Below are 26,934 nucleotides of genomic sequence, written 5' to 3'. Positions count from 1 at the left end.
CCTATAAGTGGACACAGTGACCTGATCTAGGAGGACTTTTTAAATGAAGAAAATGACACTTGCAGTTGGTTCCTTATACTGGGAGCCTGAAAATGTGTCAGCACTTTCAAAGACTCTCTTAAAAATTTAAAAATCTAAACAAAAGCAAGAAAGCTAAAAAAGAAGGAATAAATCTAAAGCTGACGAGACCACCAATTTCAAAGCTGAAGTTAAAAGAAACTGTTCTGAACGGTAGGGTTTTTAATACCTAGCACCAAGTCACCAGGGTGGCTGCACTGTGTGTCAAAGAGATTATTCATATTCCTGATATCTACTGGGAAAACAGCCTGATTCTGCCCAAGACTCATAGCCCTGGGTTCTGTATTTATTTTTGTATATAAAGGAACTGTTCCTGGCCAAAATTTTTAACCAAGTAAAATAAATGATAATGGCCAACCAAGCAACTTTTAAAGAAATGGTTTGCTTGACAGAAGAACCAGGAAAATATTTAAAGGTATTAGAGCCCATTATGAAATCCATCACAGAAAATGCATGAAATTCCCCAGGAAATGAAGCCTTCCCCGAGCTGCACCATGGCAGTTGGGGCAGAAGCATTAGCTCCCGGTCAAACTGACATGCTTCACGCAGAGTATACTGATGATCACGTGACCTGTGCCATCTCAAAGCAAACGCATTTTAGAAAGGACTCCTGTTGGTGTGCTGAAGTGCTGTATATGAGTACTTTCTCTGAAGAAGACATTCAGGTTCTTGCCCAATAAGAGGGAAAGGAAACCTGTGGACAGTAATTTTTTTTTCACCAATGACAAATACTTCATCAGCTGTACAAACTGACACGTGGCCAAAGCCCTCAAAAATCCAAAAGGTAACCTAATCCACTCCCGTGCTGCCTTCTGTCTTTCTAATCTACCTCCATCAGAATCTATATATGAAGACATTCCAGCATCCTGCTGACAGAATCATATAGTACTCTTTTACCTTTTTTTTTTTTTAAGAGACAGAGTCTCGCTCTGTCGCCCAGGCTGGAGTGCAGTGGTGCAATCTCGGCTCACTGCAACCTCTGCCTCCCAGGTTCAAGAGATTCTCCTGTCTCAGCCTCTCAAGTAGCTGGGATTACAGGCATGTGCAACTCTATGCCCAGCTAATTTTTGTATTTTTAGTAGAGACGGGGTTTCACCATGTTGGCCAGGTTGGTCTCGAACTCCTAACCCTCAAGTGATCTGCCCGCCTCAGCCTCTCAAAGTGCTGGGATTACAGGCGTGAGCCACCATGCCCAGCCCTCATATAGTACTCTTATTCTTATGATATCAGGGTCGCACAGGATGAAAGGTAAAAGCGAATTTGCAAAATGATAAAATTACATGCTTAATTAAAAAATACTACTTAAGAAGCACTTTTGAGAATACGTTTAAAACAAGAACACATATTATTATTTTTTGCCCCCGAATGAGGCTGATTTATAGTAATTTACTAGTGACAATTAAAAGTCTCAGTTGGAACACACATGTGTAAGTACCATTTCATAAGAGATATAACATTTCATTTTCTAAAAATATGGAAGACGAAGAAAAGCAAAACAGTTAGGAATTAAAAATAGATCATCTCAGGAATTTTTTTTCTCCAAGTTAGTCCAGGAATAAAAAAAGCTGATTCTACTAGTTCTGAGGCAAGCCATACTACAGAGGCCCCTGTGGGATTTGGCACCCAGGGGTGCTAAATGAAAAGTGATGCTAAATTCAACACTATTTTATAAAAATCCCCATACTCTCTAGGATATTCAATTCTTCCCAAATTAATAGGGTACCCCATTCCTGCAAATAAATGCCTTCTGTAAAGTAGCCAATGGCAATGAGCACCCCGCTCCCTCTTTTAGAATGAAAGCACCTGGACTACCTGTTACATTTGAATTTTCTAGAGCCCACAGAGTCTTACTGAGTTAAACTCTGGAAGCCCAGTCCACATTAATGGTCTCTTGCTTGGGCCCTGTCCCATGCCCTGTGAGGATGGGACCAATGTTTCTAATATTTAATAGATTTAACTGCTTCAGGCACACTCACCTCCAGACAGAACCTCTGCCCACAGAGTGGAGTTTATTATTTAATTGGTATAAGATGAGTCTGTAGTCATGATGCTCACATGTAAGATGCCAAATGAAAACATGTCCACCCCTCAGTGGCAACAAGCAACAGCTGAGGATATGGAGGCTTGGGAGCTATCGGTTGCATTATCCCTTTGACTGGACATACCTGGCTTTGGCAAATGCTCTGGAACAAAGACATCCTCTGACTCTCCCTTCCTGCTGCTTAACCTTACACTCTGCCTGTAGAAAAATGACACGCTTCTTGCCCCTCCTGCTTTGGAGGCTAAAGAATGCGGCTGAATGATTGCAGCTGCCACGGTAACCTCTTTGGCATGCATGCCAGCAATGCCTCACCTAAGAGCCTTTCCCCTGCCTCGCTGCCCTGGCCCACCGGTGATGACCACAATCCGTTCAAGTGGTCACATTGCAGCGCAGCCCCCATGGTAACCCATTTAGAGCTGTTAAAGCTCATACCAAAGAATGATGTTTTTAATACAGATTGTTCTTTTTAAATCCTTTACAAAAGCAGCTATAATCAATCGTGCTGGGGGGGCTCTGTAAAAAGCTGCCATTCGGAAAGCCCTAATATTGATTCTTTTCCCTTTCACGGCTTTTAAGAAAACAATCCCATGCTAAGAAACTATAATCAATTTTTCTAGACTTTGCTAACATGAAACAGTATCTAAATTAAAATGTTATATTCAAAAATTACAGAAAAATTGTAGCAGATAAAAGAAAGCCATACGTTATCCTGCCTTTCATGTAAGAGACAACATGTTTGTTTAAAACAAATGCCAGTTGAACAAATTCAATAATTGTTAAATACTGATTAAAACTCTGCAACTCTTATAAGAGTTCTTTAGCAGATGACAATAGCTTAAAGATTGAGGAAAACTCTGTCTTCATTTGAGATCTGGCATTTCCAATTTTTAATTTGCAAGATAATATACTATTTTCTCTGTGCCTATTCTTAGAGAAAAGTATCAATTCTAAGCCTGTGTTTATAGACAGTCATGGTTCCAAGTGGTCACATCCTGACTGAACTTCCAAATACCAGAATATTTTAAGTCTTTTCACAGGAATTATGGTAGATATATTATTCTGTCAAGTTTGCCTTTTCACGCTAGGCCTCTTAGAAACTCAAGCATTTCAAAAGGCACAAAGTCAATATTTAAAAAGCTACAATGCACAGACAAAGCAATTTGGCATTTTCATTTAAAACTTATATTAAAAACCCTCACTAGCATCAACAGCCAATTTCCAGATTAGACATTAAAGGAAAGCACAACATAATCTAGTCTGTTATCTGTTTAGAAGAAAAAAAATTAAGACTTTATTAAAATGCCATACATAAAACGAATACAGAATTGAAATCTAAGTAGACTGACAGCCCATAATGCTTTATTGTCAGCGTGGCACCTACCACGTGAATGAAATTAGATCTGATCAAATCCGAAGTGCTGGCAAAGAAACAAAACACAAAAAAACTTAACTGCTATTTGCTTTGCTCCCAAATAAGAGCAATTGCAGTTACAAGGGACTGAGCTACAATTCCTGTGGCAAGTGTCTGATACGCATTCAGGTTTCACATTCCTGGTATCCAACAACCGCAGGAGTTTACTGAGGAAATGGGTGTACAATTTCCAAATTTATTAGTTGGGAAGTTTAATTCCCTTTCCACACCCACCCCATCATCCCCTCAAATTAGAGAAGGCCCCTGCTTTTTCTTTTCTTTCTTTCTTTATTTTTTCAACACCAAACTAAATAAGCAAGAGCTGAGAGTTCTGTAAAACTCCTTAACACTAGCTGATCAAGGGCCTAAACCATTGTCAAGCCATGCCGCCTGGGGCTGTCACACAGGGGGCATTTCACAGCTTCACTGGCCTGGCAGCCTTTTTATCCCCAAAGTCATCTTAAGCAACTGTTCTTCAGCAAACAGACCTCTGAGCTTCATCTCTTCCATTGTAAAATTGTGGCACAAAAGAGCTAAGCATTAAAGAGAAACCAGAATCAGCCTGGTCAACTAATTTCAATCCCATCCTTCTCTCTGAATGCTTTTATTTGCATTAGGGCTGTCTAATAAAATCTGTGATGATGGAAATGTTCTACATCTGCACTGTCCGAAATAACAGCAAATAGCCACATATGGCTATTGAGTCGCTGATATGTGGCTAGTACAACCAAGGTACTGAATTTTTCATCTTATTTACTTTTCAATCAATTTAAGTTCAAATAGACACATGTGGCTATTTTTCCAGACTTTTCTAGTGGCTACCATACTGGACAGTGCAGCTCTAAAGAGAATTTAAGAAACTGCTGTTGGAAGCCTGGACACATCAAAGCCACCTACCTTTGCTGGGCTAAGCCACTTAAACATTAACTGTACATTAACAGAAGTCAGTGCCTAACAACATAATTGCCTTTTCCATCACAACTCTCCCTTGGCACTACATATCTGGCAGAAAAATTAAGCAGTCCATCTAACTAGGTCATTTAATGACTATTTATCAAACAACTGCTATGTGCTGAAATGTCCTATCATTTGTGTAAAACAGTAAGCTTCATGCATGGATAGACAAACTAGAGTACAGCCACACAATGGAATATTATTGGCGATAAAAAGATATGAGCTATCAAGCCATCAAAAAGACATGAAGGAACTTAAAAGGCACATCGCTAAGTGAAAGGAGCCAATCTGAAGAGGCTCCATACTGTATGATTCCAAATACACAACATGTTGGAAAGGCATAACTACAGAGACAATACAAAGATGAGCAGTTGCCAGGGGTTCAGGGGAAGAGGGGGTGGGCAAATAGGTGGAGCACAGGGTATTTTTAGGGCAGTGAAATTATTCTGTATGATAATATAATAGTAGATACACGACATTATGCATTTGTCAAAACTCATGTAAGTGTATAATACAAGGTGTAAACCTTAATGTAAACTATGGACTACAGCTAGTAATAATGTATCAATGTTGGTTCATTAATCCCAATAAATGTGCCACACTAATACAAGATATGTTAGTATACAGTAAGAGGTGAAATGGGGGAATGCATGGGGGGTATATGGAACACAATGTTCTATCTGCTCAATTATTTGATAAATCTAAGACTCTACCGAAAAAATAGTCTATTCATGATCAAAAAGACAAATACCTGGAGAACTCCTGAGGCCTGTCCATATATTCTGCCCTGACCAACCATCCCTTCTACAGTGAAACCAGGTTTTAGATGAATCACACAAGAGATGGTTCTTGTTTGTTAATGATGTATGTACCTAGCTGCCTCATCTCTCTGGTATCAGACTCAATTAGCTTCAGCAAATAAACGACACATTCCTGGACTTCTGGAAGTTATAAGTAGCCCATTTACAGTTGTAATGGGTATTATACATTCATTCTCATTCATTCATTCTTGCCTACACTGTTCCATCAAGCAAGAAAGCAAGATGCCAGCAACAGATATGGAAAGTTCAGTCTTCTCTAGGAAAATAGCTCATTTGTGTACAAGTATTAAATAATGAGTTGCACCACCGTTCCATCCACCTAGCCAGCACAATCACTGGGATTTCTCTGATGTATTAATAAACTGCAGAGGATTAAAAGTCTACTACATCTCAATACATTCTTGGGACAACTGAGAAATGTAAATATGGGTTGAATATTAGAAATGTATTCACCATTAACTTTCTTAGGTGAGATTGTGTTTTCTCCTTTTTCCCAGGGGATAAATGCTGAATCCTCAGGGGTCAAGTATCCTGATCACTGAAATTTACTGTCAATGGTACAACCAAACAACAAAAAAAAGCTGTATATAAAGAGAATAGGCCGGGCGCGGTGGCTCACGCCTGTAATCCCAACACTTTGGGAGGCCGAGGCGGGCGGATCACGAGGTCAGGAGATCGAGACCATCCCGGCTAAAACGGTGAAACCCCGTCTCTACTAAAAATACAAAAAATTAGCCGGGCGTAGTGGCGGGCGCCTGTAGTCCCAGCTACTTGGGAGGCTGAGGCAGGAGAATGGCATGAATCCGGGAGGCGGAGCTTGCAGTGAGCCGAGGTCCCGCCACTGCACTCCAGCCTGGGCGACAGAGCGAGACTCCGTCTCAAAAAAAAAAAAAAAAAAAAAGAGAATAATAAAGCAAATCTGGTAAAAAAAAACAAAACAAAACAAAAACAAACTACCAATTATTGAACTTATGTGGAGAATATTGTCCTATGCTTTCAAGTTCTCTGTGTATCTGCAAATTCATAATTTAAAAGTTGGAAGGCAGTAGGGTAACTCCAGCTGAAAAAACTTCAGGTGACACCAGAGCTGGTATTAATCACTAATGGGACCAGAAAGTACCGCCTTCATACCAGGTACAAGAATGAGGTGAAATCTGCTAAAAATTATACTAGCCTGTAGTTAGCTGACTTAAATAAATTGGGCCCACAAAAGACTGCATGATGTATTTGTGTGTGGGGATCGGGGAGGGTGGTAACCACATAATATTCTAGGAGAAAAGACAGCTATGAACTTGACAGATAAGCTAGGGCCCTAAAGGGAAAAGGTTTCTTTGACAACGGTAAGGGGGAAGACAGAAAAGCAGGTAAGAGAGGCATCTTTATAAGGGCAGAAAACAAATCCAGTCACAGTAAGGAACTTCCTTATCAGAGCTACTTGCAAACTCTTTGGTGCACTTTCATTGGGAAAACAAAAAATCTGACATGCAGAACAGAAATCATTTTTCTATGTGTGTGGTTTTAATGGAATTCACGTATTCAGATAGCTAAAGAAACAAAATTAGAGGTAAACATTTCAGGCTGTGAATGGCTTAGATATTACCCCCAGGAAACAAAACCTTGCCTCCTTGAACAAGTGAGTGGGGGGAAGTGATTCAACAGTTATGTCAACAGAACAGAACTCAGAACTTGGCTCCTACTGCCATCCTCACCAACCCCTTAATTTAATTAAAGAAAGAAATTGTTCGTGGCATGAATACATAAATTATTCATGTATTGTATATTAATATATTAAAAGGATGACTTGAAAATTCAAACTGTACACTTATGATCTGTGTACTTTTCTGATTGTGTTATACTTCAGTGAAAAGTTGACTAAAACAAACATAAAGAGAGTAACCTGAATCTCAGAAACTCTCCCCGCCACCACCCCACCCTACCCCACCCTACCCCCACCACCCCGCAGGTTTGCAATTACAGGTATTTACAAGACACCTACCAGGTGGATCTCACAATTCTTTCAGGTTTTTTCATTCGTTACCTGTGTATCTGAGCACTGAAGTCAAAGAGATGCCAGTGCTCACTCAGGAAACATATTTAGAAGGCTCTGCATCTCTACAGTTTTCATGAAGGAGAAAGGCTTAGATTTCTGGTTGTCTAGAACAGGGGTTCCCAACCCCCAGGCCACAGACCAATACCGATCCGTGGCCTGTTAGGAACCAGGCTGCACAGCAGAGGTGAGCCGCCAGTGAGCATTACCACCTGAGCTCCGCCTCCTGTCAGATCAGTGGCGGCATTAGATTCTCATAGGAGCACGAACCCTATTGTGAACTGCACATGTGAGGGATCTAGGTTGCACGCTCCTTGTGAGAATCTAATGATAAATGTACTGCGCTTGAATCATCCCGAAACCATCCCCCACCCCTGCCCTCGGTCAGTGGAAAAACTGTCTTTCACAAAGCCAGTCCCTAGTGCCAAGCAGGTTGGGGACCACTGGTCTAGAACCTACAGGTAACGCAATACATTTTCCATAGTTCTTCCATTTTTCCAAAGACATAAAACATAAAATAAAGATAGGAGGCATTAAATGTCTTTTTCACAGAACAACAGTAAGACAAGCCTAGCACTTTAACACCTTCAGTAGAAAGCAGTCAAATGACTGTGAACAGGTGTAATTCCTACCACAGAGAACAAGGTCCTGCAGACCACACAGATAGCAGGCCTGGCTGTTATTTCAGCTAATGGAGATTTTGTACCTGGTAACCACAGATAACTGATCTTGCCTGGTTGTTGCTTGGTGGGGAAGGGCAGTTACTTCTGCAGAGAATATTTAGGAAGCAATTGTGGTTTAAATTCTAAATAGCCAAATGACAGCTCTAGATAAGTTTCTGATGAGACAGCTGCTGCTGGCATATATTTGAATTCAGATCAACCACAGGTAGGCTTTTTTGCTGCTGATAAAGCAGATGTTTTGGTGACTGTGATCTCACTTCTTTCTCTTCCCCTCAGATCCCAGGTGCACACTCCAGGTCTTCAGGTGGCTCTGCTGCCATCCCAGGGTTTCCCCATGAAGATCTAGTCTGTGTCCAGCCTTGCCAACCCCTTAGAAAGGCTAGAGACTTGCGAGACCCCCTAGGCTAAAGATGCTGGCTACTGTATCCACTTACACCAAGAGTTAATTCATTTATTCACTGAGCACCGTGCAGGGTGTGTGCACGGTGCTAAGATCCCAAAGCTGAAGGTGAGTTGGTGCTAGCTATGCAGAGGGGAGGGGGTGTGGAGGGGAGGGGGTGCAGAGGGCAGGGGGAGAATAGGGTCAAATGAGGCACACGGAATGCGGGCATTTAGGGCACCAAGACAGGATGAGAAAAGAGAGGAGTTTTAGTTCTGTGTGATAAAGGGTAGGGTGTGTGTTCGGGATAGGTGAAATAAGACTAAGAAGAGGGTCAGATTATAAAGAATCTTTGGTGAAAAACTAGGAGATTTATATTTCTTCTGTAAGCAAATGAGGGATGTTCAAGGAGAAGGTCAAAACTGTGTTTGGAAAGATCAGGCTGGATGTAGTGCAGATGACAGATTAGAGGGGCTTGACTGGAGGCAGTGTGATCCATCCAATTATGGCGGGAATTGTGTAAGAAGTGCCAAACCAGAAGGATTAGAAAGCCAGGGCAGAGTCAATGGTATTAAAGTAAGTAAAATCTACAGGTCTTGCCAACTTATTGAATGAAGGGTAAGTGAGAGGATATGATGATTTATTTCTTTAAATGACAATAGTCGCTGCTGTCCTCGTAGAGCAATTGTGTGTCAGGTGCTGTTATCACTTTACATGGATAAGACCTCAAAATCCTCCCAGCATCCAACGCCGCAGGTATTAGCCCCATTTTGCAACGGTGGAACCTGAGCCTTAGCAATCCCATGGTTTCCCCTTCATCACCCACACATGAAGTGTAAGCACAGCACCCAGGTTTCTAATTTGGGGTCCTGGCACTCTTGGAAACTTGCCAGAAGGTCAGGCAACATTGTTGTTGGGAGGTCTGCGAAGAGCATCCATCCTGAAGTCAGACACCTGGACTAAAACTTTGAGGTTGAGTTTTTCTGTCTATAAAATGAGACAATAATTGTGCCCATCTCCCAAATTTCACATGAAGATTAAAGAGAAAAAACGTGAAATAGTTCATGTAAACTGTAAACAACAAAACAAAAAACAAGAATACAAGTAATTATTTATATTTATGCAGATGCATCTGATCTTTCAGGCAGGCAAGGCCCCACATTAAGAAAGTGCTTATTCCTGTAGCTCAAGCCAGCTCTGGGGAGGTCACACAGTTTTCCTGGTCCGTGTCATAACTAAGCTGGTGGTCACAACAATCTGACCAATCCTGACATGAACAAAACAAAATAAACAAATAAAGCTGATTAGGACTGAAAAATAAATGAAGACTCTGCAGCTAAGTCTAAAGCTAACCCCACCTTCATATAAACCTACTGCAATAAGGAATTCCTTGGGGTAAGAAAGTATTCAACTAATGTAGTTAATGACTTATAGCAGTTGAAAATTGGACAGTAAATAAACAAAGATGACACCAACAGTGATCCTATAGAAATGGACCACGATATGTGCAGGGGTGGAAATCTAGAAATTGTGGGATGGTTTCTGGGCACAGATTTCTGGTTTGTGGTTCAGATATCAATAATTACATAACATGGGGCCTTTGTTGTTTTTTTTAACAAATTAGCTTACACAGCACCTAGGTTATGAGGAAATATCTAGCCATCCCAAGGGAGCACAAAGTACCCAGTCAACTTTTAAACTTGGGCCAGCCTGGAGAACCGAATGCAGGCACCTCTCTGCTTCATACCACCTGAGACACCACTAGAACCATTTGACTGGGGAGTTCAAATGTGGCACAGAACTCCTCCACAAAAGACCAGTGCACAGGCAGTGGGCATTACCACTTGCCAGACTCACTGGTCCTCAGCAGGTGGCCAGAGATGTTTCAAAGCCCAAAAAAACTTTCCATAAGATGAAAGATTTTAGGTATTAACCATCTTCTCCTTTAATATGAACAAACATTTTCCACCAGGGGTTCTGGAGTCAAAAACCACTAAGAAAACAATTCATTCTGCAGCACCTCCTGTAGGGTTGCCTCTCATTGTCCCAGACCCCCTGCTCCAGGAAAAGCAGTAGTAACACACAATGAGGCCACCAAGGTGGACTTGGGAAAAAAAACAGGGTGGCAGCAGCCTCCACGAGACTGCTTGAGCCAGCACTGATGGCCTTTAACAGAAGGATAAACAAACCCCAATTTACCTTCCTAACAACCCTTCCCTACTGAGAAAGCCAACCCTTCAATTTACTTGTCCTGAGCCAAGACCTTTCCAGAAAGAAAAGTCTACCTGTGCAATAATAATAAATGCTCCCAGTGACTTCACAGCGCCAGGATCCAAAGGCGCTAATGATACTATTATTGCTCCCTCTGGGTTCCAAAAGCCACCAAGCTGACAAAGACAAAGTTTATGAAATAGAAAATGTTCAAGGTACTGTCTTCAGGATTTTTTATTACTTGTGACAGTTTTAGTTTGTGAGCAGCTGGGTTTCCTTCCGTTTCAACACAAATTTGTTGTCAGGCAAAGTGGTATGTAAGCCAGCAAGAGGGGGTGCTGTCTTTAGGGTACCCACCAATTAGCAAATAATTAGAAAGCAAGGCAGTGCCTTCTCTGCTAGCCAAACAAGTACATCACTAGGGAAAGAATCAAACCCCAGAACCACAAACACAAGATTAGGCTGAATCATATAAATAGGTCAGAATACCAGCAATTTCGCATGGTTTAATCTGTATGGAAATTTGAGTTTTTTATTGCTTTGTTTCTATTTTCAAGTTTTATGCAGAGCAGTGGTATTCAAGCCCATAAGACCCCGGTGATCGGGGACCTGCCCCTTTCCATCCTAACTTCATCCCACCTCCCTAAGCATACACACTTTCCCCACTCCAGGGCCTTTGCAGCCGCTCTGCCTCTGCCTGAAATGCTTCCCTCAAGCCTTTTGTGTGGTCAGTTCCCTCTCATTTCATAGGACACAAATGTGACCCTCTCCAAAGAGGCCTTTCCTGACCATCTTACCCATTACTCTCTACCCAGCACACTCCAACAGAAGTATGACGCAAGCCACGTGTGCAATTTAAAATTTTCTAGTAGTCACATTTTTTAAAAGTGTGACACATATTTTTTGGCTTTTTAAAGTTGTAGTAAAATATACCTAAAATTTGCCATTTGAACTAGTTTCAAGTGTATAGTTCAGCGGCATTCAGTATCGTCACACCGTTGTGCAACCATTACCACATCCATCTCTAGACCTTTCATCATCCCAAACTGAAACTCTACCCATTAAACAGTAACTCCCTATTCTCCCTTCCCCCGGTAACCACTGTTCTAATTTCTGCCTCCATGAACTTGACTATTCCAGTTACCTCATAAGTGCAATAAAAGTGTCCTTTTATGCCTAGCTTATTTCACTTAGCATTCATTTTAATAACATGCTCTATTTAACCCAACGTATGAACACTTAAAATATAATCAATGTAAAAATTATTGAGATATTTTATATATTTTTTTCATACTAAGTTTGAATTCCAGTGTGTACTTCACCCTTAGAGCATTTCTCAATTTTGACTGACCATGTTTCAAGTACTCAATGGACACATGCACCTCGTGGCTATCACAGTGGAATGCACAGGTCTCTTTCATTGGCTTGTTTTATTTTCTTCATTTGCCTTTCTCAGCCGAAATTATTTTTTTCTTTGTAAGTCTACATACTTCTCTATCTCCCCTTAGCAGAGTATGAGTTCCCCAAGGGCAGGACCTGTGTCTTTGGGTTTTTTGTTTTTTGTTTTTGCCTGCTCTAAGCCAAGCACATATTAAGTGTGATACAATCATATAAATATTTCTAGACAAATGTCTTTAAGGCAGATGCTTTTGAAAATGGAAGGATCTGTCTCCAAAATATCACTTTGATCCTGTACTATCTGGAACAAAAACATCACTGGAGACTACTAGTTATCGTTCCCTTTGTACAGGAAGACTAAGCAGAGCTTGGGATAGTCGCTGAAACCCTGGCACCAGACTTGCCTGGCTCTGCCACTTACCAGCTGCGGGATCTCTCTGCACCTCAGGCTCATCATCTATAAAATGGAGAGGATAGTGATAGTGCCTACCTCAAGCAGCTGCCAAAAGCATTAAATCAGTTAACATTTAAGGCACTTTCAACAATGCCTAGCACTTAGCATCCTGCGTGTTAGATCAACAAATCACACGAATATATTTTGCATTGCCATTTCAGAGGTGACTCTGGACTGCTTCAAGCGACTCCCCTTCCTGTAGTCCATCTACATACAATGTCAGGACTCCTTTCCCAGAGAGCACATGTGCTCACACCTCCGGGCCCCTTATAGCACTAACAGTCCCCACCGCCTCCAGGAGCCACTCTAAATTTCCCAGCAGTACAGGAGGAGCCAGAAGCAGGGAGCAAAGTGAACGACCTTTGAGAAGACACCCAACTTCCCATGCCTCAGGTTCTTCAACTAGAAAATGGATTAACAATGGTACCTACTTTATAGGTTACTGAAAAATTAAATGAGTTAATATATGCCACGTACCTTTACAGTGCCTAAAACATAGTAAGCACTCAATAAATATCATCTAGTATTATTACAAGGCTCTCCACAATTGGACTCCAACTTTTACAGCTTCATTTTAGTTCATTTAGCAAATATTTAAGTACCTACTATGTACTGGGGACTGTCTCTATAAGGCTCTTGCTCTTACAGGAGCTTAGAGTCAGGTAGGAGAGAGATAAGAGCTGTGGTAATCCAGGAGGTAGATACTCTGCTAAGTGTGGTGTACTGTACTCTACACTGGCCCAGTAAGAGAACCTAACCTAGAACTGGGGTGAAAGTCAGGGAAGGCATTTCATGGAGGAAAGGATATCTAGGCTGAGAGTATAAGAAAAAGGAAGAGGCTGAGAGTGGTGGCTCATGCCTGTAATCCCAACACTTTGGAAGGCCAAGGTGGAAGGATGGCTCGAGGCCGGGAGTTCAACACCAGCCTGAGCAACGTAGTGAGACCCTGTCTCTACAAAACATTTTAAAAATTATCCGGACGTGTTGGTGTGCACCTGCAGTCCTAGCTACTCGGGAGGCTGAGAGGAGGATCACTTGAGCCTAGGAGTTCAAGGCTGCAGTGAGCCATAATTGTGCCACTGTACTCTAGCCTGGGGAAAACAGCAAGACCTTGTTTCAAAAACAAACACAAAAACAAGGAGGAGGAAGCAGTGAGCATTCTACATTCTATCTTATCTACCATTCTTATCCAAGCAGCAGCCATGTGTAATTTCCCTTCCCTGACACCCAGTGACTTTTCCTTACTCTTCACACTGCTCACCTGCATTGCACTCTGGGTTACATCTGCCTATCCCAAATAGATGAACAGTTCCCCATTTACCTGTTTCCCTACCATGAAGCAATACATGTTTATTGAATGAATTCACTTTTCCCCTAGTTTCTCTTAGGACTAAAGACCCATACTTCTAAAATGGTGGCCTGAATTATGTCCTAGACAGGGCTGCACTAACCAGCTCTGGGTTCAGCACACCCATGCTCAATTTACAGTTATTTAATCAGTTCACAATCTCCAAACCTGCAGATACAAGAAAGGGTGGCACTGTTTCTGTGGTATTTATTTCTACCTATAAATCAAGAACTCCAACCAAGAGCTCCATTTCCAGGTTTTCACTTAGGCAAGTTTTTGGACCTCTTTGACCACATACATCGCTCCAACTACCATGCCTGTCTGGCAAATACAGACAGAGCTTTGGGGCTCCACCACCAGACACTAAAACAATCATGTAAGCAACTGACAGTCGATTGGTATGTCTGACAGGTTATGGTTATGTGTTAAAAGTACCTATGAAAAGCAGATTCATTCAAGCTGTTCCCCACTTTTGTTTAAACCAACTCTTTGGGTTGGCCAACAATCTTACTCATTACAGATAACATTTCATTTTCCACCCCCACAAGGTATATTCTTTCACCACAAGATGTGCCAACAGTAATTAAGAACTTCTGAGGAAGAGAGGAAAACCCGCAGGCTTTGCTGGAGAAAGAGGGTGTACTTAGCTTAACCCTCCTATAACTTTGTAACAGAAGGCAAAGAAAATTGAGGCAATTCTCCTTTAAGTTTACTGATGCTAAAACGCAAGAATTTGTTTTACTGCCATACACTAGGGTAAAGAGCCAGTAATTATGCCTCTATACAAAAGCATGGGAGAAAATACGGACCTTCTAGTGTGCAGCAGACCTGGGTTCAAATGACAGCAACACTTTGAAGGAGTTTCCTCTTCCAAAAAGTGAGGATAAAGCCATTGCATTCTACAGGAGTTATAATAACTGCCTGCACATTGTCTAAGAGTGCCTGGCACTGTGCTCAACGGAGGTGCTCAACGGAGGTGTTACTCCACTCCACCTCTCAGACTATGGGTGAATAATTAGGTGTTTATGATAAAAATAAGTTTAGCAAAAAAATATCTATGACAACGAAATTATTCTTATGATTCTTAATCAGATTAAAAATGGCAGAACAAGAGCAAAATAATGTCTTTTGCAGCAACTTGGATGGAACTGGGGGCCACTATTCTAATGAAGTAACTCAGAAATCAAAAACCAAATACCACATGTTCTTACTCTTAAGTGGGAGCTAAGCTACGGGTGTGCAAAGGCATACTGAATGGTAAGGTGGACACTGGAGACTCAGAGTGGGGAAGAGAAGAGGGTGAGGGATGAAAAACTACCTATTGGGTACAATGGACACTATTCAGGTGACAAATGCACTAAAATCCTAGACTTCGTCACACACGATTAATTCATATAACCAAAAACCATGTATCCCTAAAGCTATTGAAATTCAAAAAATTTTTAATGGCAAAACATGCCAAAATTAAGACTTCTATAAGATGCCACTTTCTGTTCAAATTGCAATTAAGAGGTATGAAATCTTCCCCTTTCGCTACCAGAATTCTTCAAGTCAGGCTTTAACTACATTTGAACAGAAACTGTTATTGGCATGAACGCTTACTAATAAACTATCACCTTGTAAACTTTAAAAAATAAAGATATAGGCCAGACGCAGTGGCTCACGCCTGTAATCCCAACACTTTGGGAAGCCGAGGCAGGTGGATCACTTGAGGTGAGGAGTTCCAGGCCAGCCTGGCCAACATGGCGAAACCCCATCTCTACTAAAAATACAAAAATTAGCCGGGCGTGGTGATTGCTGCCTGTAATCCCAGCTACCTGGGAGGCTGAGGAAAGAGAATCGCTTGAACTTGAGAGGCAAAGGTTGCAACGAGCCGAGATCATGCCAATGCACTCCAGCCTGGGCAACAGAGTGTGACTCTGTCTCAAAAATAAAATAAAAATAAAGATATACTTGAACATACATATACAAACACATAACCACACCCCCCTCCCTAAATATAGATGCTTACAATAAAACTAAAGCATGAAAACAGGGCACATGCTTCTCAAATTATAAGGTCAGAATGACTTAATTATAACAAAAAATTAATAATAATAAAATAAATATAAAAATAAAATAAAAAATTATTTAATAAAAATAATTTAATAAAATAGATCAATCTCAGAGAAACTACAATCTGCAATTTCCTTTGTTATGTATATATGCTTGCTAGTTGTATTTCACATAAAACTAATAAGTATGAGAGTTATGATAAGATCCTCTTTAGACATGAAAACACACCCAAACAAAATTTGTTATGATCCACATTTCGATAGTTATGAACTGAATGCCTGAAAACCCCTGCACAATATGCTTTATCATTCTAATGAATTCAAATGAATTAATGTTTGTTTCCAGAGCTATCATACCATTAATGGTTTTATAACTCCATAGCATTAGGACAAATCAAATGCTCTGAAATAGTCAAGAAATATTTAGAGGTCCTGAGAGAGTTTAAGTGTTTCAGTTCATGAATTCTCAAAGTCAACTACAATATTCTTACATAATATGCATTTTTAAATTAAAATTCTGCCTTTAAGAGAAACATCTAAGAAGCCCATGAGAAAGTCAGCCAACAAGTATAATAATCATGATAAACCACCAGAACTTTCAGTTTGCTGCTTTACATCTATGACAGGAAGAACACTATTCCAGTGAGTGCTCACTGTGCCCATGTGAGGAAGACCAGATGGTGGTCATCACCAACATTTTACAGATGGGAAAAGGACTTCATCTAAGGTCCTCCCCAAGATCACACAGCTGGTACGTGGTGTACAGGGCAGGAAAGAAGCAAGACTCAAGCCCAGGTCTTCTCGGTGGCATATTTTTCACTAACAATATGAATCTTCTGTGGGGTAACAAGGCAGCTATGTCAACTGGCTGCAGAACTCTGAATTCTACAACTTCCAGGTCTTTGATCACTCTACTGCCTATCCCTGAATCCTTCACCTCCCATCCCCAGGAGGAACGCCGTTACATTCAATCTCTTTATTGCAGTTATCTACCCAGCCTTTCCAATCAGATGGACTTTGCAGAGGGAAGGCAGTCTTTCCCAAACTATGTGTAATGCAGGTATGACTGGAGTCGGGGAAAACTGAGACACAGATATAAAGGCCACACATTCAGTACTATAGTTATTGAAGCAACTGTTGCTAGGGTCCCAGATTTTCAATTCTCTGTCTCCCAACACCACACTTCCTATTATGTCTCTATCCTAATACATATACATATAGATTTATTCTATCCAAAACCCTATTAAGTTAAAACTCAAACTAAATTCATTTCAACATGGAGGAAAAAAAATGAAGATGTACATGGATCCTGTAAGACTCTGAGATATCTTCTGAATCAAAGATTAAATCAGATTTAGGGGTTGGGTGCGGTGGCTCACGCCTGTAATCTCAGCACTTTGGGAGGCTGAGGCGGGCAGATCACGAGGTCAGGAGATCGAGACCATCCCGGCCAACATGGTGAAACCCTGTCTCTACTAAAATACAAACAAAATTAGCTGGGTGTGGTGGCGCACGCCTGTAGTCCCAGCTACTCGGGAGGCTGAGGCAGGGGAATTGCTTGAACCCGGGAGGCGGAGGTTGCAGTGAGCCGAGATCGTACACTGCACTCCAGCCTGGCGACAGAGCAACACTCCCCATCTCAACAAAAAAAAAAAAAAATCAAATTTAGGATGGTCTCAGTGATCAGTATGCTTACCACACTGTAATTTTCCTAAAAATTACTTTCCCTTCCTCAATGTACATTTTTTAAAGAATAAATATACCTAGGCAGAAAGGGATATCCCATTGCTAACTTATCAAAGTTTATGAAGCAAAGTGAAGAATGTACAGAGATTGACTAAAATTTAACAACAAACAATTAAAAGCTGGTATTCTAAACAATCACAAAGTTCAACTCCCAAAACGGTGGGCAGGGTGCTTTCCCAAAGCACTGGCACGGCAGACTTCATCACTTACCTATGGGATGTGATAACACGTGTAAGCTGAACTGTAGGAAAAAACCTGGAATCTTGAGGTATTTTCTTGGAAAGTTTTATTTCATGTCAGATATCAGAAGTCTACAGGTGTGTAAGGAAAACAAGAAAATACGCCCAAATAAAACGTATCATAGGTACATTCGCCAATCAGAAAGCACTCTGTACACTTTTACTTTAGAATCCTTCACAAAGGTCCATTAAATTAGAGACCCTTTACCTCTCTGTGTGAGGCTAATCCACGTGCAACCCACACAACTCTACGGTCAAGGCCTGCATTCTACACCAGCAAAATGCAAGTGCAATGAGAAGTGAAAAATCTATGCGGTAAAAAATCTATTAGGTACTGATTATCTTCTAAAAAGTTCCAGATGCCCTACTCAAATCACATTCACCCTTGGACATCCCATCCCCCTGCAAAGTTGAAAGTACTCAAATCAAGTGCCTTTAATAGGCTATAGGCCTGGACAGATGACATGTATCCATGGCCACAGTGACTCCTCACCCCTCCTTTCCCCGCCAACACTAATGATACAGGTGGTTGACAATTACACTGTGAATGAGACAAAGGAATGATTCCTACATTTTTTTAATTCCCAAATTTAACCATAACACTAAAATGCAAAACCTTTTACCAGTACAACTGGGGACACCTGAGTCTTTAGAAAGGTGGAGTTACCAAGCTGCAAGACAATGCCTAGGCCTGGTAACGGCAGGAACAACAGAGATGCTGGCATCCCTTGGCTAAACTGCCTGCAGAATACAAGCCTGTAGTTTGTTAATTGGCAGCTGACTGGCTGTAGGGCCTGTTGGTCTGTAATGACAGAGTGTAGCCGCCAGTGGCTCACAGCTAAATATGTAAGTGTCCTCACCCAACATGCAGAGAGGAAACAGAAGTATAACCTTCAATTCATCAGTAGTTTTATGGACAAAGGGCCTGTCAGCTGGCACCAAGCAGGAGCTCAAAATGCATTTATGTTCAAAACACAATTTTAGCACTGTTGGATGTAAAATCCAATGCACAGATCTGAATAACCAATGGCCTCCAATGAATTCGATGTTTCTTTTAACCAAAACGTATTAGAATTAGAGAACTGTTTAGAAGAGTGGTTCTCAAGGTGCAGTCCCTGGGGCCGGCAGCATCTCAAATTCTCAGGCCCCACCCCAGACCTAATGAATCAGAAACTCTGGGAGTTGGGCCCCGTGTTCCCTGCTATAACAAGGCCTCCATGTGGAGTCTGATACATTCCTAAGTTTGAGGACCACTGGCTTAGAAGTCTGAGAACAAAGACATAAAAGTGGAAAAGTACAAGATATTTATAGGAAATGGAAGGAAGGGAGAGCACTCAGCTTAGTTAGGTAGCAAAGAGCATGAGAGGATGTGCTAGAATTAAAGATGACAGTTATGTAAAAGCCAGGAAATTCAAGACACTGAGTGCTAGCCTAGGAAGCCCGCACTCTCCCTGAAAATTGGGAGCTCTTGAAAATTTTGGAGGCAGGAAGTAAGGCCGTTAGAATGGTGGGCTAGGAAGGGCTAGGAAAGCCAGATGGAAGGCTGTCAAGACAGCTGATCCCAGCAAGGCTGAATACAGGCAAGGGAGAGATTTATAAGGTTTCAAAATTGGAACCTTTGACAAGACTTGGCAACACAGTCACCTCGCTGAGGTGTCTGAGATACGGACAGCGTGTGTCAAGGGAAAATGTCTTTCAGGTAGCTGTAACAATGGAACAGTAATTGGAGAGAAAGGAGTACAGAGCCACGAAAACAAATTAGGGGTGATGTGCGTCAAAATGATAGTCTGAAGGCGAAAAGTTAGGAAATATTGTCAGGAAAGGAAAAAAAAAAGAGTGGAGCTCTACTGCAAACATGTCCCCCACCAGAGTCACTAACCTGTCACTAAATTCACCTTGGCTCCACAGGAGAACCATCCAAGTCCCCAAATGGGAAATCTGGAATGGAGGTCAGCCTTAAGATATGGAACAGAAATGGGGCAATTTAAGCACAAAAGCTCTGCTTGAAAGCAATGCTAATTTTATTTTAGGTTTCACTAGAATGAAGATTTGAAGGTAAGGATTACCAATTCTAATTGTGTCGACGGAATTCCTGGTTCTAGTAGCTATACAAAATTTTGCTGTAATTATCTCATCAGTTAGAATGAGTGCATTAGGAACAAGAAGCCTGCACAAGAGGAGAAAATGAGGAAAGGACTCACTAATCCACCAATGCAGAGCTTCTGACGTTCACTCCAGTAACAATGAGTCTCTTCCTCAGAAGCCCCCCAGAGCTACCAAGTCCCACAGGGACTCCATGCCAACTCCCTGGCATCCTAACTTCCCAGGCTGACTGTGGCCTTCAGAAATCCTGCCATGGGCAAGCAGGGGAGGCAGCCCCAGGGAAAGATGCCACCTCTTTTCAGCATTAAGTCACTGAAAGGCTGTGGACCTGAAAAGACCCACATAAATACAGGAAACTGATCTTTGACAAAGGAGCAAAGGCAATACAATGGAGAAAGGACTGTCTTTTCAACAAATAGAGCTGGAACAATGGGACATCCACATGCAAAAACAAAATGAATCTAGACATAGATCTTAAAAACTCTTCACAAAAATTAACTCAAAATGGATCACAGACCTACATGTAACAGGCAAACTACAAAATGCCTAGAAGATCAATGGGGGGGAAATCAAAATGACCTTGAGTATGGCGATGACTTTTGAAATGCAACACCAAACACATGATCCACAGGAGAAATAATTGATAAGCTAGACTGCATTATAATTAAAAACTTCTCTGGGAAAGACACTGTCAAGAGGATGAGAAGACAAGTCACAGACTAGGAAAAAATATTTGGAAAAACAAAACAAACAAACAAAAACCCCATGCCTGACAAAGGACTGTTATCCAAAGGTTGTGTGGCAAGTGGTCTGCCCTCTTACCTGATAGGACCATCCAGCCATTCCATTAACTGGCATTTCTTTTCTCCCCTTTCCAGCACCTCTGAGTTTTGTTCTCAGCTGGATTCTTTCACTACTGGTATCCAAATTCTTCCACAATAATACATCTCAAATTAAGGGAAGCAACTGGGAATAGACTTGGTAAGGAAGAAATTTGCTTTTTAGACATGGTAAGAACATTTTTGTTACATGGACTGAGGGATGCTGTACTGTTGGGCCATCTAACAACAATGAAATAAACAACAGTGGTTATTAAGTGGCCTGTGAGTAATAGCCATCTGGAGAATAAACTCAATCAGGCCGCCCCACACAACCTGTACAGCATTCCCCTAGGGCCTTTGGGAATCCAATGCTTGTTTATACAAGCGCTCTAAAATGTGCAGCCCAAAGAGTATTGCTACAGTATGAAAGGCACTCTGGCTGCCTGTTCTTCCTCCCCTCAGCTTTGTCTTCAAGAGCTGTCTTCATGTCTTCTCTATGTATAGTGTATTTACAATCTCATAGCTAGAAGAAAATCCCCCTTGCTTGAGCAAGCATATACTGAGTATACTTTTATATGAACAACAGAACATACTGAAAATTGGACAGTAAATAAACATACCTTGGGCTGATTGGCTGTGTCTTCCTCCCAATGTGTGGAATCACTTGGCCCGGCTTTGAAGAATTATTTTGTCTCTCTTTTAATTATTATTATGATTATTATTATTATTTTGAGACAGCATCTTGCTTTGTTGCCCAGGCTGGAGTGCAGTGGTGCCATCTCGGCTCATTGCAACCTCCGCCTCCTGGGTTCAAGTGATTCTCATGCCTCAGCCTCCTGAGCAGCTGGGATTACAGGCGTGCCACTATGCCCAGCTAATTTTTGTATTTTTAGTAGAGATGGGGTTTCACCATGTTGGCCAGGCTGGTCTCGAACTCCTGACCTCAAGTGACCCGTCCACCTCAGCCTCCCAAAGTGTTGGGATTACAAGCGTGAGCCATCACGCCCGGCATATCTCTCTTTTTAGATAAAGGGGCTCTTAACCTGGTATTAGGGACTGTGTAAATAGTTTTAAAGATCCATGAACCTCTTGATTTTTTTTTTTTGGAAAATCAAGTATATGTACATAGCTTTCCTTAGATTCTCAAAGGGTTTAATGATCCAAAAATAATATAAGTACAACTATATTAAGTTCTCCAGGGAAATTCAGAAAAACTCCTTCCATCTTAAAAGTCAAACCATAAAATCACATACATAATAAAACCATCGCCTTAAAAACATAAAACTCCATCCTTTCCTATCCAAACATTTATTATGTGTTTTATTATGTTCCACCAACTATTTTAAAAGATTAAAATGAGACCATTTAATAAAATAATTCAGTTACATATCTTTGGTAGAACAGTTAACTCATATAGCACTTAATACACTTTCACATAAATATCCTTTAATCGTCAAAATAATCTGTGAAGATATGACTATTCATGTTCTACAGATATGGGGATAAATTTCACAAAGTTAAGAAATTTTCTCAAGGTCATAGTACTAGCAAGCTGAGGCTGAAACCATCTTCTGATAACAAAATCCAGAGTAACATTTTGTAAAATACTAGTTTAGAAAGATACCAATTGAACTATAGAGACAAAAATTAGATTAGTGATAGCCTAGGACTGGAAAGGGTTGAGAATGACAGGGTAGGGGTAGGGGTGACTGCTAATGGACACAGGTTTTTCAGGGAGGTGATGAAAAAGTTCTAAAATTGATTGTAGTGATGGTTCCACAACTCTAAATATGCTAAAAACCATTGAATTGGACACTTTTTAAATGGATGAATGGTATGTAAATTACATTTTACAGCTATTAAAAAATCAGTTGACAATTAAGGAGGCAAATGAATTATTGATATTTTGTCATTTTAAGATCAAATTATCAAGAATACAAACTCAAAAATGTAAATTTAGCCTAGGTGTTTTGTTCCAAAACAGACAATTCATTTCACATTAGGAAGTTCAGTAGTAAGTGGAAGAGAAAAGCTGGCTTACTATTCCTGGATGGATTCCACACTTGGTTAGAATTCTGCTGAAGAATTCTTGAGTTTCATTTCCCTTCTTAGAGAATGGAGACTACAAGACCTACTTGCACTCTATAACTCACAGAGGTATAAAACTCAAAACAAAACTTGATATTTACAAAGGTTGAATCACTAAATCGTCACTGGTAATCCACTAAAAAGGGAAGGAAGCAAAACCTACTGGAGGCAGTATCTGGTATATGGCTATATAAGCAGCAAATTATACCAGTGTCATGAGAAGTACTCATGAACATAGCAAGTCAAGCTTCTTTAAACTGCAGTTTCACTCTTCTCTTCAGAAATCTGCAGTGATTTCCTATTACTACTTACTTTAGTAAATCCCAATTCCTCTGCCTGGCCCCACAACATCATGTCATTTCCACCTTTTAACAACAGACAACCTCCAACAAGGTCGGTCACCCTCTTCACTATTCAATCTCCAAGTTAGTGAAGATTATCTAGCAATTCCTTCCTTTCTCCTCTCACTGTTAAAATCTGAAATCTTTCAAGCCTCACCTCAAGTTTTACCTCCTTGGACATTCAAGCCTTGACACTCTTGTCTCATGTCATCACACCCCACACAGCCACCATCGGCCCTTGTGTCAAATATGGCAACCTCATTTCCACCAGTACTCCTTAGGGAGATCCCAGAGAGCAAGCACCCAGCCCAGACTGAGCATAAAGTAGATGACTTACTCATTAAATTACTGTGCAGAAAATTACTCACCAATTACATTAAGTCATGTAAAAACAGTCTAAAAATAAGCCAGCTCCTCCACTGGCAATCCATGAAATAATCTGGAAATTAAATGTGACTTTTAAAATAATATTTGCATTAAGATTTTTCATTGAGGTTCTTTACTACCGTGCATCACTTAGTTTACTATTACATTCATGATCTGTGAGTTTGTTTGGAATGAATTATTAGACACACACACACACACATATTCAAATGTGATTATCTACTGGAAAGTCAGTAGATAAGTCAGTTGACTAGAAAGTTTATGGTTTGGATTATTTTTGTAATGTTATTTAATATTTCCCACCCTTATATTCCCCTCTTTGGGGCTGACCTCATGATCTGCCCACCTCAGCCTCCCAAAGTGTTGGGATTACAATGGAAAGAATTGGTGCTCCAAAGCTTTGATTCATTAAGATGCTTCAGAAACAGATATCAATTTATAGAGACATTTCATTTAAAAATCACATCCATTCATTTATTCAACAAATATTTCTAAGCACTTACTAGGTATAGACATTTAGTTATGAGAACCTTAAGACTATCTCAGACGGTGAAATTCAGAAATTCTGTGTTGTATGTTTACCTTAAAAAGATTTCCTCCATGGCAAGGCTGTAACTGAAGACCACCATCTACACAGGAAACATACCTATCCATGAAGGCCTATCAGCTGCACGCCACAAAACACCATAAGCCAACTCCTCTGCTTAATCATTGCTCCCAATGCCCAAACTCTGAGCCAGAACCCCCGACCCTGAGCCAGAATCCCCAACCCCCTCTCCTTTCCCAAGAATCAGGGCAAATCCAGCTCCTTTCCTCTCACCCTATATCCACTCACCAGAAAAGCAGCATGTCTGAACCCTAGCAAAACATTTCTAAATGACACACAGCTCTACCCTACACTTATAATCTTCTCAACCACCAAGAACAGAATGAATCCTTCTCTCAGACAGGTTTCATGCAATTAGAACTGCTCTAACTACTCATGTGTACCAATTATGGGCTTTATTTACAAAGTACCCTAAATGTAGACATGGGTTAGACACACCCTAACATCTATCCTCAGGATAAGTTTAACGCACTGTGTTCCTCCAGTACTTATGTATCTTCTTTTAAAAAACAAAAATACTCAGCATAGAGTTATAGGATCTTCCTGCTACAAAACAGTGTGTTCTTGGTTCAAGGGAAAGTCATCAAAGAGATAAAAATACTGTTCAGCAAGAAGTGGTACCATTCTTTTTTTTTTATTATTATACTTTAAGTTTTAGGGTCCATGTGCATATTGTGCAGGTTAGTTACATATGTATACATGTGCCATGCTGGTGCGCTGCACCCACTAACTCGTCATCTACCATTAGGTATATCTCCCAGTGCTAACCCTCCCCACTCCCCCCACCCCACCACAGTCCCCAGAGTGTGATATTCCCCTTCCTGTGACCATGTGATCTCATTGTTCAGTTCCCACCTATGAGTGAGAATATGCGGTGTTTGGTTTTTTGTTCTTGCGATAGTTTACTGAGAATGATGATTTCCAATTTCATCCATGTCCCTACAAAGGACATGAACTCATCATTTTTTAAGGCTGCATAGTATTCCATGGTGTATATGTGCCACATTTTCTTAATCCAGTCTATCATTGTTGGACATTTGGGTTGGTTCCAAGTCTTTGCTATTGTGAATAATGCCGCAATAAACATACGTGTGCATGTGTCTTTATAGCAGCATGATTTATAGTCCTTTGGGCATATACCCAGTAATGGGATGGCTGGGTCAAATGGTATTTCTAGTTCTAGATCCCTGAGGAATCGCCACACTGACTTCCACAATGGTTGAACTAGTTTACAGTCCCACCAACAGTGTAAAAGTGTTCCTATTTCTCCACATCCTCTCCAGCACCTGTTGTTTCCTGCCTTTTTAATGATTGCCATTCTAACTGGTGTGAGATGGTATCTCATTGTGGTTTTGATTTGCATTTCTCTGATGGCCAGTGATGATGAGCATTTTTTCATGTGTTTTTTGGCTGCATAAATATCTTCTTTTGAGAAGTGTCTGTTCATGTCCTTCGCCCACTTTTTGATGGGGTTGTTTGTTTTTTTCTTGTAAATTTGTTTGAGTTCATTGTAGATTCTGGATATTAGCCCTTTGTCAGATGAGTAGGTTGCAAAAATTTTCTCTCATTTTGTAGGTTGCCTGTTCACTCTGATGGTAGTTTCTTTTGCTGTGCAGAAGCTCTTTAGTTTAATTAGATCCCATTTGTCAATTTTGGCTTTTGTTGCCATTGCTTTTGGTGTTTTAGACATGAAGTCCTTGCCCATGCCTATGTCCTCAATGGTACTGCCTAGGTTTTCTTCTAGGGTTTTTATGGTTTTAGGTCTAACGTTTAAGTCTTTAATCCATCTTGAATTGATTTTTGTATAAGGTGTAAGGAAGGGATCCAGTTTCAGCTTTCTACATATGGCTAGCCAGTTTTCCCAGCACCATTTATTAAATAGGGAATCCTTTCCCCATTTCTTGTTTTTGTCAGGTTTGTCAAAGATCAGATAGTTGTAGATATGCGGCGTTATTTCTGAGGGCTCTGTTCTGTTCCATTGATCTATATCTCTGTTTTGGTACCAGGAAGTGGTACCATTCTTATACAAAGACACCAACTGACCAGACATGTGGCAAAGTATTTAATTAATAAAATCCTAAAACTGGTTAAAAGTGTGTGGGGCGGGGGAGGGGAGTAGCTAAAAGAGGAGGAATAATTTGTTTCGTTTCATTCTCTGATAAACATAATACAGTTTCTTACTAAGGCTAATACATAGCTAACTTCTCAAATTATCATTCCCAAAGAGGGGAATATAAGGGTGGGAAATATGAAATAACATTACAAAAATAATCCAAACCATAAACTTTCTAGTCAACTGATTTATCTACTGACTTTCCAGTAGATAATCACATTTGAATGTGTGTGTGTGTGTGTGTATGTGTGTGTGTGTGTGTGTGTGATATTCTAATAATTCATTCCAAACGAACTACATTTTGGCAACCAAGCTTACGAAGTTGAAAGGTGTAGCTTTCACTGAGTTTAACAAGGTACTATAGCTCAGGCTGGAAATAGCCTATTCTTGGACTAAGAGAAAATTTACACTATTTCAAACCTTCCCTGAAACAAACAAAGAAGTTTAAAATGTGGGTTTGTATGGGTGCCCCAACTTGCACTCATCTGGCACCCAGGGTCAATAAAGGGATTTTGAAAAATGAGTGAAGAAAATACATTGGTGAAGAAAATGCTGTCATATTTGAAGAGTAAGTTTTATCTGGAGTAACTGAGAAGTGGCCCCATTTTCTGAA

The 26,934-nt window shown here is 40.6% G+C and overlaps 1 protein-coding gene across 3 annotated transcripts in view, besides 1 other annotated feature; it reads right to left on the bottom strand.

The window, feature by feature from the left end:
- Window positions 1-26,934, bottom strand: part of SDC2 (syndecan 2) — a 117,978-nt gene that overhangs the window by 29,168 nt on the left and 61,876 nt on the right. The window lies entirely within an intron of this gene.
- Window positions 2,163-2,668: an enhancer, noted in NCBI's record as "OCT4-NANOG hESC enhancer chr8:97592183-97592688 (GRCh37/hg19 assembly coordinates)". NCBI's record gives its function as "activates a minimal SCP1, AML or CMV promoter by ChIP-STARR-seq in naive H9 embryonic stem cells {active_cell/tissue: H9 hESC(naive)}" and the evidence as "EXISTENCE:reporter gene assay evidence [ECO:0000049][PMID:30033119]".

This window comes from Homo sapiens, chromosome 8 (genome assembly GCF_000001405.40).
Source record: "Homo sapiens chromosome 8, GRCh38.p14 Primary Assembly".
In the NCBI taxonomy this organism is placed as follows: Eukaryota; Metazoa; Chordata; class Mammalia; order Primates; family Hominidae; genus Homo; species Homo sapiens.
The sequence above is the reverse complement of the archived record's forward strand: the minus strand, read 5'-3'. Positions and strand labels throughout refer to the sequence as shown.